An 18060-nucleotide genomic window follows, 5' to 3' on the forward strand; every position below is an offset into this window, starting at 1 on the left:
GAGGAATCTTTCCAGAGAGAATCCTCAAAGCTGATTTTGGCCTTTCAAGTCAGTACCTCCTTACAATTCAGAGCTTCATAATCATATTTTCCTATTATTTCAGTGTCACTTGAAATAATTGGCAGATGAGTTCATTGCAGAGGAAATTTTAAAACCTTCATGCCACCAGTGACATCCAGCATGTATGCATACCAAGGGCAATGCTCTGGAAGTCAGAGGTCAGGGCTCTAGCCACACTTCACCCTAGGGTGAGAAATTGGGCACATCCCTCCATTTCCCTATATGTCAGGTTCCTTTTTTCTTTTTTTCTCAGAAATTCTGCAAGAAAGTAATCAGATTCCTTTTTCTTCAAAAAAGGAGTGAAAGCTCCTGTTTTCCTATTTTGTAAGGATAATGGGAGAGACTAGCCTGGACTATCCTGGAGTTTAGCTTAGGAAAGCTTTCTTTTCTTTTCTTAATTACTGCTTCCACTTCCAACTGATCTGTTCCTGACTTTGTAGAATTTCTACTTTGTAGAGATTATATTTCTAGTTTCTATCCCTGGAATCTGTCATCATTCTCATTTGAATTCTCATTCAAATTTGATCCATTTTCTGCCCAGTTCTGGGAGAATTTCTGTTTCATCTTCTGCTTTGTTTTCCTGTTTTGTTTTGTTTTTTTCTCACCTGTGTTCACTGCCTTCACTGGCAGTTTGTGATGCAGTGATCATGTTTTTAATCTGCAACAATCTTTCCAATGTCCTTTTGAAGCCATTAAGAACAGAAAATTGGGATTTTTGTAAAATTTTCTTGTTATTTCCAAATTTCAGTTCATTTCCAAATTCATCTGCTCTTCTTTCGAGGTTTTCTGTTTGTTTGTTTGTTTTTTATTTACTTTATTTTATTTATTTATTTATTTTTTGAGACGGAGTCTCGCTCTGTCACCCAAGCTGGAGTGCAGTGGTGCGATCTCGGCTCACTGCAAACTCCACCTCCTGGGTTCACGCCATTCTCCTGCCTCAGCCTCCCAAGTAGCTGGGACTACAGGGGCCCGCCACCACGCCTGGCTAATTTTTTCTATTTTTTAGTAGAGACAGGGTTTCACTGTGATAGCCAGGGTGGTCTCGATCTCCTGACCTCGTGATCCGCCTGTCTTGGCCTCCCAAAGTGCTGGGATTACAGGCATGAGCCACCATGCCCGGCCTGTTTGTTTTTCGATGGGGTCTCGCTCTGTCGCCCAGGCTGCAGTGCAGTGGTGCGATCGATCTCGGCTCACTGCAGCCTCCACTTCCTGGGTTCAAGCAATTCTCCTGCCTCAGCCCCCAAGTAGCTGGGGTTACAGGTCCCCACCACCATGCCCAGCTAATTGTTGTATTTTTAGTAGAGACAGGGTTTTGCCATGTTGGCCAGGCTGGTCTCGAACTCCTGACCTCAGGTGATCTGTTTGCCTCAGTTTCCCAAAGTGCTGGAATTACAGGCGTGAGCCACCACACATGGCCTCTTTTGAGGCTTTTTATTAATAGGTGAAATTTCTTTATTTGCTCGTCTGTGAGGACAGCAGTCTTCCCCCAGCAGTGGTGTGTTGTTAAGTAGCACTGGAAGTGACGTTCTTTCAGAGATTGTTATGGGTTCCTGTTAACATCCTTCAAACACAGCTGAAGGAGGATGAGGAAGGCAAGGCTTTCTTGTGATGAATGCCATGAGTCAGCGCCTAGAGGCTTGTGGGGAGCTGTCAGTAGTCCTGGCAGGGAGCTCCTCCCCCTCACTAGAATTTCTTCTCCACGTTTGGAAGGGTGGCCAAGAATCAGCCTGATGTGGGAGCAGGCCACCTCTCCCTGGCAAATCGGTGTCCAAGATAAACCCCCACCACACCCGCCCCTCTCTCAGTGGAGCTGGCAGGGCCAGGTACATCTCTGAGAGTCCCTGATGCCTCCAGAGTTCGTGCCTGTGGCTTTGGAAGGGTTGGCTGGGTTTTACCAGGACTACCTGGTAGTATGGTTATTTCACAAGCTGTAGGTCACCTCTTTCTTCAAACCACTTTGTTGTATCTTGTGGCTAACACCCTTCATCAGTCTCTAGTTACTAGTAAAGGATGCTTTCTATTTTTTAAACAGCTTTGTTGAGCTATAGTCATATACAGTTCGGTGGCAGGATATTCACAGATACGTGCGGTCATCACCAGTCCATTTTAGAACATTGTCAGCACCTCATAAGAAGCTCTGTACCTTTAGCTATTACCCCCCACCACCACCCGAAGGAACCACTTATCTACTTCCTGTCTCTGTAAATTCCCTACCCTGGATTTGCCTATGGATGGAATCATGTAGGAACTGGTTTTGTGACTGGCTTCTCTCACTTATAATAATGTTTTCAAGGTTCTTCCACATGTCACATGTACTTCAGTACTTCATTTCTTTCTTTGGCCAAATAATATTCCATTGTATGGATACACCACAGTTTGCTTATTTATTCATCCACTGATGAGCAATTGGATTACTTCTACTACCTTGCACTTCAGTGCTAGGGAGATGGCTTCTGTCCTTAAATCTCAGGAACCAACCTCTGCTAGGTTTAGACTTTTCTTTTACAGCTTCCTCACTTCTCTCAGCCTTCATACAATTGGAAAAAGTTAAGGCCTTGCTCTGGATTAGGCCTTAGCTTAAAGGAGTGTTGTGGCTGATTTGATCTTCTATCTAGACCACTAAAACTTTCTTCCTATTGCAATCAGGCTGTTTCACTTTCTTATTCATGTGCTAACTGGAGTAGCACTTTTCATTTCCTACAAGAACTGCTCCTTCACTTTCAGAACTTGGCTGTTTGGCTTGAGAGGCCTAGCTTCTGGGCCATCTTGGCTTTGACATGCCTTCCTTACTAAGCTGAATCATTTCTAGCTTTTGATTTAAAGTTAGAGATATGTGACTCTTCCTTTCACTTGAAAACTTAAAGGCCATTACTGGGTTATTAATTGGCCTAATTTCCATATTGTGTCTCATGAATAGGGAAGCCCAAGGAGAGGGAGAGAGACAGAGGAATGGATGGTCGGTGGAGCAGTTGGAACACACAACATTTATTGATTAAATTTGCCATCTTCTATGGGCACAGTTCATGGCATGTCTTCACTTCTTGTTTTCCCTGTCTCATCTTTTTATTGTTCTATTCCTTCTTTACTGTTTTCTTTTTCACTGAGTGAATATTTTCTAATGTAGTATTTTAATTTTATTAATGATTCTTTCACTGTATTTTTTGAGATTTGTTTTTAATGGTAGCTTTAGCGTTTCATGTATATATATATAACTTACCAGCATCAACTTCAGATTTATACTAGCTTAATTCCAGTAATATATAGAACTATTACTCCTTTATAGCTCTATTCCCTTCCCCCTTTTTGTGTGGTATGATTGTTATGCATATTATACTTATCAATGTTATAAAGCCAGCAGCACATTAGTAAAATGATTACTCTACCATGTGTCACCATTTTCTTAGCCTATTACAGCTTTTCTCTCATCTACCTCCTTTATGCTGTTATTGACATATATTACATTTCTATATTATATGCTCAATAATACATTATATACATTATTTTATACAGTTGCATGTTAAGAGAAGAAAGGAGAAAATAAGAATAGTGTTTTTTATAATTACATCATTACCTTTTCTAGTACTCTTTTTGTATTCATGTGGATTTACATTATCATCTGGGGTCACTTGCTTTCAGTCTAAAGAATGCCCTTTAGTATTTCTTATAAGTTAGGTCTACTAGCAACAAATTTTCTCAGTTTTGTTTATCTGGGAAAATCCTTATTTAGTCTTCATTTTTGAAAGGTTAGCTTTCTGCATAAAGGATTCTTAGTTGCCAAGATTTCTTTTTTAAAAAAAATCTTTTTAGCAGGCCTTTGACAGAATTCAACAGCCCTTCATGCTAAAAACTCTCAATAAACTAGGTATTGATGGAACGTATCACAAAATAATAAGAGCTATTTATGACAAACCCACAGCCAATATCATACTGAATGGGCAAAAACTGGAAGCATTCCCTTTGACAACTGGCACAAGATAGGGATGCCCTATCTCGCCACTCCTATTCAACATAGTGTTGGAAGTTCTGGCCAGGGCAATCAGGCAAGAGAAAGCAATAAAGGATATTCAGTTAAGAAAAGAGAAAGTCAAATTGTCCCTGTTTGCAAATGACATGATTGTATATTTAGAAAACCCCATCGTTTCAGCCCAAAATCTCCTTAAGCTGATAAGCAACTTCAGCAAAGTCTCAGGGTACAAAATCAATGTGCAAAAATCACAAGCATTCCTATACACTAATAACAGACAGCCAAATCATGAGTGAACTCCCATTCACAATTGTTACAAAGAGAATAAAATACCTAGGAATCCAACTTACAAGGGATGTGAAGGACCTCTTCAAGGAGAACTACAAACCACTGCTCAATGAAATAAAAGAGGATACAAACAAATGGAAGAACATTCCATGCTCATGGATAGGAAGAATCAATATCATGAAAATGGCCATACTGCCCAAGATAATTTATAGATTCAATGCCATCCCCATCAAGCTACCAATGACTTTCTTCACAGAATTGGAAAAAATTACTTTAAAGTTCATATGGAATCAAAAAAAAAGCCCGCATTGCCAAGACAATCCTAAGCAAAAAGAACAAAACTGGAGGCATCATGCTACCTGACTTCAAAGTATACTACAAGTCTACAGTAACCAAAACAGCATGGTACTGGTACCAAAACAGAGATATAGACCAATGGAACAGAACAGAGGCCTCAGAAATAACACCACACATCTACAACCATCTGATCTTTGACAAACCTGACAAAAACAAGAAATGGGGAAAGGATTCCCTATTTAATAAATGGTGTTGGGAAAACTGGCTAGCCATATGTAGAAAGCTGAAACTGGATCCTTTCCTTGCACCTTATACAATAATTAATTCAAGGTGGATTAAAACTTAAATGTTAGACCTAAAATCGTAAAAGCCCTAGAAGAAAACCTAAGCAATACCATTCAGGACATAGGCATGGGCGAGGACTTCATGACTAAAACACCAAAAGTAATGGCAACAAAAGCCAAAATAGACAAATGGGATCTAATTAAACTAAAGAGCTTCTGCACAGCAAAAGAAACTACCATTAGAGTGAACAGACAACCTACAGAATGGGAGAAAATTTTTGCAATCTACCCATCTGACAAAGGGCTAACATCCAGAATCTGCAAAGAACTTAAACAAATTTACAAGAAAAAAACAACCCTGTCAAAAAGTGGGCAAAGGATATGAACAGACACTTCTCAAAAGAAGACATTTATGCAGCCAACAGACACATGAAAAAATGTTCATCATCACTGGTCATCAGAGAAATGCAAATCAAAACCACAATGAGATACCATCTCACACCAGTTAGAATGGCAATCATTAAAAAGTCAGGAAACAACAGGTGTTGGAGAGAATGTGGAGAAATAGGAATGCTCTTACACTGTTGGTGGGAGTGTAAACTAGTTCAACCATTGTGGAAGACAGTGTGACGATTCCTCAAGGATCTAGAACTAGAAATACCATTTGACCCAGCCATCCCATTACTGGGTATGTACCCAAAGGATTATAAATCATGCTGCTATAAAGACACGTGCACATGTATGTTTATTGCAGCACTGTTCACAATAGCAAAGACTTGGAACCGACCCAAATGTCTGTCAGTAATAGACTGGATTAAGAAAATGTGGCATATATACACCGTGGAATACTATGGAGCCATAAAAAAGGATGAGTTCCTGTCCTTTGCAGGGTCATGGATGAAGCTGGAAACCATCATTCTGAGCAAACTATCACAAGAACAGAAAACCAAACACTGCATGTTCTCACTCATAGGTGGGAAGTGAACAATGAGAACACTTGGACACAGGGCGGGGAACATCACACAGGGAGGCTTGCCATGGGGTGGCAGGGGGAGGGATAGCATTAGGAGAAATACCTAATGTAAATGATGAGTTAATGGGTGCAGCACACCAATGTGGCACATGTATACATATGTAACAAACCTGCACGTTGTGCACATGTACCTTAGAACTTAAAGTATAATTAAAAAAATAATAACAAATATTAAAAAATCCTTTTAGCACATTTAACACACTATCCCACTGTCTTCTGGCTTCTGGAGTTTCTGCTAAGAAATCAATTGTTAATCATATTGAAGAAGGCTTGATGAGTTATATGTTGTTTGCTGCTATTCTCTTTTAGGATATTCCCCCTTGTCTTTTACTTTCAGCATTTTTACTATGATGTGTCTGTCTGTGGATCTCTGGAATTATTTTACTTGGAAATAACTGAGTTTCCTGGGTGTGTAGGTTATTGTTTTTCAATAAATTTGGAAAGTTTTCAGCCATTATTTCTTTGAATATTTTCCCCTTCCCCTTTTTCTCTCTCTTTCTGATATTCCCATTACACATATGTTGGTGCACTTAATAGTGTCCTACACTTCTCTGAGGCTTTGTTCATTTTTTTTTCATGGTTTTCCCTTTGTTCTTTGGCTTATGTAATTTCTATTGATCTATCTTCAAGTTTGCTAATTATTTCTTCCATCTATTCAAACCAGCTGTTGAGCCCTTCTAGTGAACTTTTTATTTCAGTTATTGTACTTTTCAACTCCAGAATTTCCTTTTTTAAAAGATTTGAATGCGTTCATTGATATTCTCTGTTTGGTGAGACACTGTCATCACATCTTTTGTCTTTTAATCATGTTTCCTTTAGTTCTGTGAACATGTTTATAATTACTACCTTGGACTTGATAAATCTGATATGTAGTCATTCTCACAGGCAGTTTCTATTGCCAGCTTTTTTCCCCATTGTATGGGTCAAACTTTCCTGTTCCTTTGCATATGTCATAATTTTTGGTTGGAAACTGGGCATTTTAGATAATATTATAGCCACTCTGAGAACCGCTCCCCCACTAGATTTGCTATTATTATTTGCTTATTTATTAACTACATGAACTGTTTTATTTTAGTGAAGTCTATTTCCCTTCCCGTGGGGTTAAGCTTCTGATGTTGCTCCTAAAGGAGATACAGCACTGGGTATGCCCACAGTCACCCATGGATGGCAGTGGCTTTACTAGGGCTCTCTTCTATATTTCTCTGACCACACCACACTGTTAAGCTCCACTCATTGGTTGCTGATTGCTCTGTTATTTTCAATATTGTCCTGGGGCATAAATTGCTTTACAAGCTATCAAATGCTGGCACACCTCAGAAAGGATCACTTTCTGAGGTCAGTGTTTGGTATTTCTTCTGATCCTAGAAGGGCTCCTCCCAGCTACCTTATTCTCTGTTCTCTCATGCAAACTAGTGGGGTTACAGTCCAGGCTATATGTCCATTAGAGCCACAGATTTCCTCTTAATTCCTTCACTGCAACCTCCACTGTTCTTGAAAGCACCTTTAGGTTGCAGCTTCTCCATGCTCTGTTACAAACTGAGCCCAGTTCCTTTAGGAAGAGATCAGGAGCTATCTGTTTTACAACCTGCTTCCCCCAGGCAAAATCTTTGAGCCAGAGCTCAAGCTCTGTGGAGCCCTTGGGGAGGGAGAGCAGTAGCCTAATGTCCTCTCAGCTTGCCTCTCCTGGCATGGAACCACCACCTTAGAAGCAGGGGTAGTTTCTTTTGCTATCAGTCTGCCCCTACTGGGGGGTACCTCAAAGGATATGAACAGACACTTCTCAAAAGAAGACATTTATGCAGCCAAAAGACACATGAAAAAATGCTCATCATCACTGGCCATCAGAGAAATGCAAATCAAAACCACAATGAGATACCATCTCACACCAGTTAGAATGGCAATCATTAAATAGTCAGGAAACAACAGGTGCTGGAGAGGATGTGGAGAAATAGGAACACTTTTACACTGTTGGTGGGACTGTAAACTAGTTCAACCATTGTGGAAGTCAGTGTGGCGACTCCTCAGGGATCTAGAACTAGAAATACCATTTGACCCAGCCATCCCATTACTGGGTATACACCCAAAGGACTATAAATCATGCTGCTATAAAGACACATGCACACGTATGTTTATTGCGGCACTATTCACAATAGCAAAGACTTGGAACCAACCCAAATGTCCAACAATGATAGACTGGATTAAGAAAATGTGGCACATATACACCATGGAATACTATGCAGCCATAAAAAATGATGAGTTCATGTCCTTTGTAGGGACGTGGATGAAATTGGAAATCATCATTCTCAGTAAACTATCACAAGGACAAAAAACCAAACACCACGTTCTCACTCATAGATGGAAATTGAACAATGAGAACACATGGACACAGGAAGGGGAACATCACACTCAGGGGACTGTCGTGGGGTGGGGGGAGGGGGGAGGGATAGCATTAGGAGATAGACCTAATGCCAAATCACGAGTCTGCAGCACACCAGCATGGCACATGTATACATATGGAACTAACCTGCACATTGTGCACATGTACCCTAAAACTTAAAGTATAATTTTAAAAAAAGCCAATAAATAAATAAATATATAAATACATAAAAAATAAAGTGTTGTACCCTAAGAAAAAAGTTAAACCAAAAATAGATAAGCCTTTTCAGGGATTACAGGCTCTTCTCAATTCCTTTACATACCATAAAACTTACCCTTTTAAAGTGTGCAATTTAATAGTTTTTTGTTTTTTACATTTTAAAGGATTGTTAACAAATAAAATAAAATAAAAAGACTAATTCTTCACAAACTCTTCCAAAAAGTAGAAGAGGAGGGAACACTTCCCAACTCATTCTTTTTTTTTTTTGTATGTCATTACAATGGAATTCAGTTCAGCAATTAAAGGAATAAACTTCTGATACATGCTGCGACATAGATGAACTTCAAAACATTATTCTAAGTGAAAGAAGCCAGGCTCAAAAGATCATATATTATATGATTACATTTATATGAAATTCTTGAAAGACAAATTTATAGAGACAATAATCAGAACAGTTGTTGCATAAAGTGAGAATCGGGATTAACTATAAATAGGCATGAAGGAACATTTTGGGTGGGGGTGTTGAGAATGTTCTAAAATTGGATTGTAATGATTGTTGATAACTGCAAATATACTAAAATTGTTAAATTGTACACTCGTGGGCTGGATGTTTGTGTTCCTCCAAAAATTCATGTGTCGAAATCCTATACCCCGATATGATGGTATTGGGAGGTAAGGCCTTTGGGAGGTAATTAGATCATGAAGGTGGATCCTTCATGAATGGGATTAGTTCCCTTATAAAAGAACCCCAGAAAACTCTCTAGCCCTCTTTCCCACCGTGTGAGGATACAATGTGAAATCGGTAGTCTGCAACCTGGAAGAGGGCCCTCACTGGAACTTGGCCAGGCTGGCACCCTGATATCAGACGTCCAGCTTCCCTAACTGTGAGAAATAAATTCCTATTTTTTTTATAAGCCACTCAGTCTGTAGTATCCAATTATAGCAGCCTGAACTAAGGCATTTTACAATGGGTAGATTTTAATGGTATGTAATTTATATTCAATAAAGTTTTTAAAAGGAACAAAAAAAAAAAAGAAAGAAGCAGGGGTAAAGGCTCCCCAAGGCTCAGTATGCTCAGCTTGCCAAAGAAGGAAGTCACCCCGGCTCACCACTCTCATCAGTAACAGACGGCTTCCTGACTAAGCCTCAGCAACAGGTGGCTGGGGGCAGGATGAGAAATACCACTGTCCTCCTCTTCCAGGGAAGAAAGATCCCTGGCTGAGAGGTGTAGGGAGAAGGAGCCCTGTGTTTTTGGCTGTAGTCTGAAGTGGAGTCTCTGCCTCAGTGAGCTGTAAAGGGGGAGAGGGGAATGATCTTGGTTAAAACCCTACAGATTCTCACCTTTCTTACTGAATTGTCATTGATTTTCTTGAATGGATGTTTCTTTTTTTTTGAGATGGAGTCTTTTTTTTTTTGCTGGGGAGGCGGTGGGAGGCAACGCAGTCTTGCTCTGTTGCCCAGGCTGGAGTGTAGTGGCACAATCTCAGCTCACTGCAACCTCCGCCCCCCCGATCCGAGCGATTCTCCCACCTCAACCTCCCAAGTAGCTGGGATTACAGGTGTGTGCCACCATGCCTGGCTAATTTTTGTACTTTTAGTAGAGACGGGGTTTCACCATGTTGGCCAGGCTGGTCTTGAATTCCTGACCTCAAGTGATCTGCCCAACTCAGCCTCCCAAAGTGCTGGGATTACAGGCATGAGGCACCACTCCCGGCCTTGAATAGATGTTTCTTTATTTGCTGTTTACTCTTCAGGACCATTCCAGAGGTTTTAAATGGTTGTTTTTAAAACAGTGTTCACCAGTTTCACTGAGGATCAGGTCAATGGAGTTCCTCTCACTGTCCTGCAAAAGTCAATCTCATTTTCTCTAGTATTGGTCATTTCAGTGAGAGTCTTAGAGCAGATGTTGAATGGCTGTGCTCATGGCATATCTAGATACATTTCTTTTCTTTCTTTTTTTTTTTTTGAGATGAGGTCTTACTCTGTTGCCCAGGCTGGAGTGCAGTGGCATGATCTTGGCTCACTGCAACCTCTGCCTCCTGAGTTCAAGTGATTCTCCTGCCTCAGCCTCCCGAGTAGCTGGGACTACAGGCGCACCCCACCACACCAGGCTAATTTTTGTATTTTTAGTAGAGATGGGGTTTCTCCATGTTGGCCAGGCTGGTCTCGAACTCCTGACCTCAGGTGATCTGCCTGCCTCGGCCTCCCAAAGTGCTAGGATTACAGGCATGAGCCACCACGCCCAGCCTAGATACATTTCTTAAACTTCCTTCTTTTATTGCCAGCAGCTAGCATGATGTTCTGCACATAGAAGGTTTACAGTGTCATTTGCCAAGGACATTGATGGTATTCCAACACAAAGTGTCTGGGGAATCCTCTGAATGGGGAGAAAGGGAATTAACGGTTGCACAGTGGTTCAAAGCATGAGTGGCGAGCACTGGAACCAATTCCACCACTTCTGAGCGTATAATCTTGGATTATTCTGAGCCTCAGTTAATTTCAGTGGTAAAATGGGGCTAAAATAGTAGCTATCAGATAAAGTTGTAGATATTAAATAGTATATGCAAAGTACCTCACATCTGGTATATGCTTAATAAATACCAGCTAATATTTCAGACATTGCTAGGTGTGACTGCATATCTACACATCATTCACTTAATCCTCACAATAATCCTGCAAAAGTAGTTGTCAGTATTCCTATTTGTGGATAAGGAGAGAATGACACAGGAAGATTAAGTAATTTGCCCAAGGTCACAACTAGGAAGAGACAGAACTGAACCCAGGATTGAACCCACATCACTCTGGCCTTTGGCTTCTTTCCATCCAGCACTGTTGTGGAAACTGAAGTGCAGGGTTAATTAGGAGAGACAGAGCAGAAGCCTGTCTCTAGACTTAGACAAGCTTTGATCCCATTCTGTTTCTGTTTTTTTGTGTACAGTAGAATTTCATTGACCACCTTCACATCATCAAGCCAGTCTCAAAAAACACTGAACCTTCTGTGCTGGCCTTTCTGATAAAGACACTGCATTATTAATTCATACATACATAATCACGTTGCATGCATATACACACAATATATATACAGTCATGTGCCATATAATGGCATTTTGGTCAGTTACAGATTGCATATACAATGGTGGTCCCCTAAGATTATAATGGAGCTAAAAAAAAATCATCAGGTGATGAGTGAATGTGAAGGCCTAGGATATTACTGTACACTATGTAGACTTTATAAACATTACAGAACAAATTCCAGTCCTGCAAGCTGTATTCATGTTAAGTCCCTTATACAAGTGTACCATTACGATGTTAATATTTTATACTATATTTTTACTGTGCCTTTCCTATGTTTTGATTTGTTTAGATATAAGAATACTTACCATTGTGTTATCACCCTACAGTATTCAGTACAGTAACATGCTGTACAGGTTTGCAGCCTAGGAGCAGTAGGCTCTACCATATAGCCTAGGTGTGCAGTAGGCTATACATTTAGGTTTGTATAAGTTATGCTCTATGATGTTCACACAAGAAAATCACCTAACAACACATTTCTCAGGACATATCCTTGTTCAGCAACTCATGACTGTATATGAGCAATATATGTAAATGTACCTAAATGATTATTTATGATTATAAACCTACCATATGATGGTAAAGGGATCACCCATCTCTTTTAATAGTATCAGAAGTGGGCCTGTAAGCTTTATGGGGACGGAATCTTCCCCTGGTGAAGGCAGCTAAGTCTCCCTGCACCAGTCTTTGTCCCCAGAGATCCCCAGCACCTTTGATGGTAAGTGTTAATTTCAGCTGTCCTCACCCCCAGGGTCTTAGGAAACATAGATCCCCTTTTCACACTGGAGCTCAAATGGGGACACTCTACCCTTACCCACAAGACAGCTAGGAGCAGGAGACCTGATTCAAAATTACTGAGGTCTCCGGAAGATTAAAAAGGGAAATGGACTCAGTAAAAGCATGGGGCTCGGCTGTCTGGCTGACACAGTGGCTCACACAGGCTCCTTCTGCTCAGGCCACAGCCATCTTTAGGCACTGGCATGGCACCCTCCACTTAGCAACACACCTCAGGCCCCTGAAAGTCCTGACCCCAGACAGCGAGAATCCTCCCTCTCCTTCCCAGCTGACCATTGGGTCCAGCCCCCTCATTCCTCCACGGGCTGCTTGCCCAGCATGGAGCCTGCAGCAGGTGCGCTGTACTCCCTGGACACAGTGATGGGTAATGCCCCTTTGCCCTCATGGCACACCTGGTCTGCAGGGAGCAGACGGGAGAAGCAGCAAGCCACTGACAGATGGAATAAGTGCTGAGAAGGAATCAGTGAAGCCTCACTGAGGGGGGACATTCACTGAGATCTGAAGACCAAGAAGGAGCCAAGCCATGAAAAGCCAAGAGAAGAGCATCCCAGGTGAAAGGGACAGTAAGTGCCAGGCCCTGAGGCAAGAAGGAACAGCAGCAAGGTGGCGGCTGTGGCAGAAGTGCAGGGAGCATGGGACAGAGAGGGACAGGAGGAGGAAGAGAAATCAGGCAGAACATGCAGCATCCCCCAGGTCTTACGAAGTGTGAAGGGAAGCCTCTGAAGATAATGATGCAGGAAACGAGCAAGATGTGATTTATGTGTATTTTAGAGCTCCCTTGGGCTGCTCAGTGGGTGACACTGACGCTGTCGCCAAGCACGGTATGGCGGTGGTAGCAATGGAGTAAGAGAGAAACGGACAACTTGGACATTTATTTTGAAGGTAGACCCCACAAGACTTGCTGATGGCCTGGGAGGGGTAGTGGGCTCTGGCAGTGGCCATCCCTTCCCCAGCACTTCTCCCCACCCACCAGGGCTAAGCTTGCAGCCTTCAGAGGACAGCTGTAGGACACAGATGGTGACCCCATGCAGAAGAGCCTGCATGAGGGCTGAGGAGTGGGAGAACTGCTCTTCCCAAGGACAAGAAAGACTGGAAGCAGGCCGGGCGCGGTGGCTCATGCCTGTAATCCCAGCACTTTGGGAGGCCGAGGCGGGCGGATCACGAGGTCAGGAGATCAAGACCATCCTGGCCAACATGGTAAAACCCTGTCTCTACTAAAAATACAAAAATTAGCTGGGCATGGTGGCGCGTGCCTGTAATCCCAGCTACGTGGGAGGCTGAGGCAGGAGAATCGCTTAAACCAGCGAGTCGTAGGTTGCAGTGAGCTGAGATCGCGCCACTGCACTCCAGCCTGGCGACAGAGCAAGTTTCCGTTTCAAAAAAAAAAAAAAAAAGGAAGCAGAGGCTGGAAGGTTGCGTGCTGGCTACAGAGTGACCAGGAAAGGCACTCTTTCCTGGAGGAACTGAGGAGGGGGCTTTGATGTGATGATCTGGCTGAGTCATCCCCCAATTCTCATCAAATTAAATACCCAGCAACACCAGTTATTACCTTAAGCATGTATGGAGCTTCCAGTCTACCTAAGCCTGTGGTGGCCCACTGCCCCAGCCCCCTGGGTTGTTAGGTCAAATAATCATATACTCATGATAGACAAGATACTAGAGGTCTCACAAGGAGAGGAGAAAGCGTCTATGAAGCTGCAGGGCCTCTTATGGTACAGAGCTTGGAGCACATATAGCTTCCGGATGGAGATGGGCCACAGGAAATGGACCCCAGTGGAGGGCAGGGCACCAAATGCCCAGTTTTCTAGCACCCACCCTATACTAGCTGGTGTGCTGGAGCAAGGCATGCACCTCTCATTTCATCCTCTCCCTCTCAATACTTCTGCTGCTTACACTAGAAGCAGCCCCCAAGGGCTTTGGGGGAATGATAATGCTGTGTACATGGGGTCGGGGCGGGGAGGGGGGCAGTAAGGGGAAGGCCATCAGCAGCCCTGATTAGCCGCTATCACGACTGCCCCTCAACCTCCAAAGGGAGACCAAGTCTCCCACAGTTTTTCACCTCCTGGAATTTGCATTTGCATTTCATATCCTGACTTGTCACCTTGTGTGGAGCTTCTGGGTGGACTCTAAGAACCTAGAAGAACCTGTGTGTGTCTGGGAGGGGCAGATGAAATAGTAATGCCCTTCCTTATCCACCCCCTACCTCGCACACACACTCCGAAAAAAATAAAACTCCTGGCTCCTTGCAGTGGGCCTCGTGGCCCCAATCTTCGTGTGTGAACTCTTGCACTGTAAAACCCGGTCACTGAACTCTTCCACACGCTTTCTAAAATCGTTTGGCATGGACTTTCCTCGGCCCCTTAATCACCACAGGGTGTGTCCTGCCCGGGCTGTCAGGAGGGTCGCAGGCGCCCGGTGGTCCACGCTCACCGTGCGCCTGGCTGAGCGCAGATGAGGGTCGTGTCCCGTCTGAGCGCGCTCCCCCCGCCGGCGCGCACGCCTGCCCGCCGGGTCTCTGCCCTGGGCCGAGCGGGGCCACCTGCTTGCGTCCTCGCCCTGGATGGCGTGGGAGGCGCCGCCAACCGTCTGAGCTGGAATCCTTGCGGTGAAAAAGTGGGCGCCCACCAGCCCTCCTCACCACCGCGGCTGCGACGAGCCTGGGCGTCGCCTCCTAAGGATGGCCCTGTCCTAACACACGCGTGCGGACACAGGTGGCGGCGGCGCGGCCCTGCGGCACCGAGGACGACCCGGAGCCCCGCGCCCGCGCCCGCCGCCGCAGCCGCTCCAGGCCTGCGTGCGCGCGTGCGTGAGCGCGTGCCGACCGGGCCCGCGACCCGCACTGGGGTCGCCGTTGAGGCTCAGCGCCCGCCGGGCGGCCGGTAGTGGGCAGCGAGCTGACGCGCTGCGCTCTGCCGGGAGGGCGCCTGGCCTCGCTCCGAGCCGCGCGCGCCCCGCGCCTGCCAAGGGTCCCAGCTGCCGCGGCCACAGAGCCCGAGCGGGGGGTCGGCTGAGAGCCTCCTTAACGGAGCCCCATGATGTCAGCCGGCCCGCACGCCCCTCGCCCTCCGACTGCGACCCCGGCCCGGGCTCGCGCGCCCCGTCCCCCGGCAGCCCCGCGGCCGCCGCACCGCCGCCCCCGGCCCAGCCTTCCCCGAGCCTGTGGCTGGAGCTCGGGCCCGCCTGCGTGCGGGCGCAGCAATGCCCCAGCGAGTCAAGCGGGCAGACGAGTGGCGATCTCGGCACTAGCAGCAGCAGCAGCGCCGGGCTGTCCCCGGGCTCCGACTCGGACAGCAGCGGCGTGGTGTGTGGCGGCCGCGGAGGCAACGGGGGCATGCGCGGCGCCGTGTCCCGCTCCTGGAGCCTGGAGAGCCTGCGCTCGGCCACCGCCGGTAAGGACGCCGCCATCCCCGCGCCGCACGCGCCCTCCGCGCCCGGGTCTGTGCTCTTGGGACCCCCCGCCCCCCTCCTGCCTTTCCTTCTCCTCCCTCACTTTCTGCCTGTCGTTTCCATCTCCTGGTCCCTTCCTTCCCATTGCTTCGCCCTGCTATTCCTTTTCTTTTTCTGGTTTCCTTCTGATTCCCACTGCCTGTCTCTCTGATCCACGTCTACCGGTGGGCCACCTGTTACAGCCGGGACCTTGTTGGCCCCCATACCAGAGCGCGCTGTCAACTGGGAAACTGATTAAGGTGAGACTAGAATTTGGTGCCCGATGCGCTGTGTTCCTTTCCCCAAACTGTTCTTGACCAGTTGCACCTGTCTGGCTTTACCTACCGCAGCTGCTTAGCCTCTGTAAAGCCAGGAGGATGGAAGGGGGCCGCTGGCCGAGGGTGGAACGGATTGCGCCACCTGGCTGTGAGTGCGCTTGGTCCTGACCGCAGGACTGCAGCTCCCAGCGGAGGCAGCTGGTCCTGGACCCCTCTGAACAAGACTGCGCTTTACCGACCTGGCATTGCTCTGGTGTTTCCTGGGACCGTGTGATCCCTGTAGTGCTCCCGAATCTACCTGGAGGGCCTAATTTGGGTTACTGGTTGAGAGGAAGATTTTGTCCCTAAATATTAATGGAGCAAGGAAGTCAAGAGTGGTTTTATGAATGGTGATCACCTTACCCTTGGTTATTTGCTGACAGAATTATTTATATTTCACTTCTTGCAAACATTCTCAAATATTGTAGCTTCTGCAGTGGGGTTTGTCAAGGGCAACAGTTGCTGCCTGGAAATGAGAGAGTTATACACCCACTATGCTTCTGCATGGGGCTGGAGGTGCAGCCTGTGAAAGCTGCAGGGCCTCACGTAGGTGTGGAATGAGACTCAGAGCATCAAAGCCAGAGGAGCAGAGGGCCATAGGGATGGCAGAATGTGGAGCACAGGCCTTGTTGGGCAGATATAGAGCAAGGTCGGCTCTGGCTGGGTTGAGAGCACCTGGAATGACAGATTCAGAGTTTGGACTTTGCAGTCAGCGAGTTTGGGAGAGAGAAGTGAAGGACATGCAGACCTCTGCATTGAGCACTCCATGACTCATCTGCCCGTTCCCAAAACACACGCATGAAATTCAGAAAAGTTGAATAATCCAGCTGTTGATGTTTCCTTCAACGGAGAGTTTTCCATTGTTCTGCAGCTCTGATTCCATCACATCCCTGTTCCCTTGAAACTGTCCTTTCCCTCCTCTCTGGAGCTTAAATAGAACCCATTTTGGGAACCCCAAGCTAGATCATACCCTAAGTGGGGCCTGAAGCAAACTGGCAGAGGACTCCTGCCCCTTTCCTTATTCAGACGGCTTTCCTTCCTTTCCAGAGGCCTCAGTCCTCCTGGGGACACCTCCTCCTTTCTTTCTTCCTTCTGTCCCAGGGTAAGTGCGCCAGTGAGACAGATGGAAATGGCAGAGACCCTAGTTTATTAGGCAGCCCAGAGATCCAGGGACTCCCTGGTTTATTAGGCAGCCCAGGGACACAGAGGCAGCCTGGATAATTTTCCGAGATAACAGCGATGCTTGCATGAAGATCTGGAGAGAGAGAGAGTTGGGAGCAGGGGGTGGGGAAGGAGGACAGGGTAAAAGCTGAGGCCTAGGAAGTTGCTCTTTGAGGGGCCCAGGGCTGCCCGGCAATGGCAGGGCAGGGTTTAAAACAACATGATGTAGTCAGAGTTGATGTGAGACCCAGAAACGAATGTTGTGCCCCTCACAGACACTGCACCACTAAGGGTAGGCTCTGGGTATCTCTAGGTCCACAGGCAGCACACTACCCGGGGAGTGCTGGTCAGTAACCAGCCACAGAGGCACTGAGGAAGACATTTAAAGTCACCTCTTCATCCTCTCTGCCCCCACTTCCTGCCTTGTTTGGTAGGACCTGCATCAGCAGTGACCAATGCTCGATGTGTAAAAAGACACTCCCGTGTATGCCTTAGAGCCAGTTGAATCTGTGAAGCCGTCTGTCCTTCTCAACTGGTCAGAATTAACTGTGCCTAAGACTCGCCTCTCTTCTTCTACAACGGAACTAGCTATTTCCTGTCCCTGGGAGGAATTGCGGAAACAGGCACTCAAATAATCCTGTTTGAATATGGTTGGAAAAGGCTGGTAAGGGAGGAGAACTTGAAGGGAGGAGAGAAGGGAGGTTACCTTTTGAGCACTCTCTACATGCCAGGCACAATATTCCCTGCTAATCTGGATTTGAAACAGG

General features: G+C 45.7%; 1 protein-coding gene across 7 annotated transcripts in view, besides 1 other annotated feature; it reads left to right on the forward strand.

Annotated features, from left to right (window-relative positions):
* Positions 1-18060, forward strand: part of ARHGEF4 (Rho guanine nucleotide exchange factor 4) — a 210340-nt gene that overhangs the window by 111558 nt on the left and 80722 nt on the right. For 2 of the 7 annotated variants that reach the window (NM_001375904.1, NM_001375903.1), the window contains exon 1: positions 15184-15778. The exons of 4 other annotated variants lie outside the window; for them this stretch is intronic. In NM_001375904.1, coding sequence (NP_001362833.1) covers positions 15721-15778 — 58 coding nt within the window. In that variant the 5' untranslated portion in view covers positions 15184-15720. Of the gene's footprint in view, positions 1-15183; positions 15779-16018; positions 16076-18060 lie in introns of those variants that run through there. One more of the 7 variants, NM_001375902.1, reaches the window with a different exon arrangement.
* Positions 910-1237: a silencer, noted in NCBI's record as "fragment chr2:131706954-131707281 (GRCh37/hg19 assembly coordinates)". NCBI's record gives its function as "represses an EF-1alpha promoter that drives an FKBP-Casp9 reporter gene in an ReSE screen in K562 erythroleukemia cells {active_cell/tissue: K562}" and the evidence as "EXISTENCE:reporter gene assay evidence [ECO:0000049][PMID:32094911]".

This window comes from Homo sapiens, chromosome 2, assembly GCF_000001405.40.
Source record: "Homo sapiens chromosome 2, GRCh38.p14 Primary Assembly".
Lineage (NCBI taxonomy): Eukaryota > Metazoa > Chordata > Mammalia > Primates > Hominidae > Homo > Homo sapiens.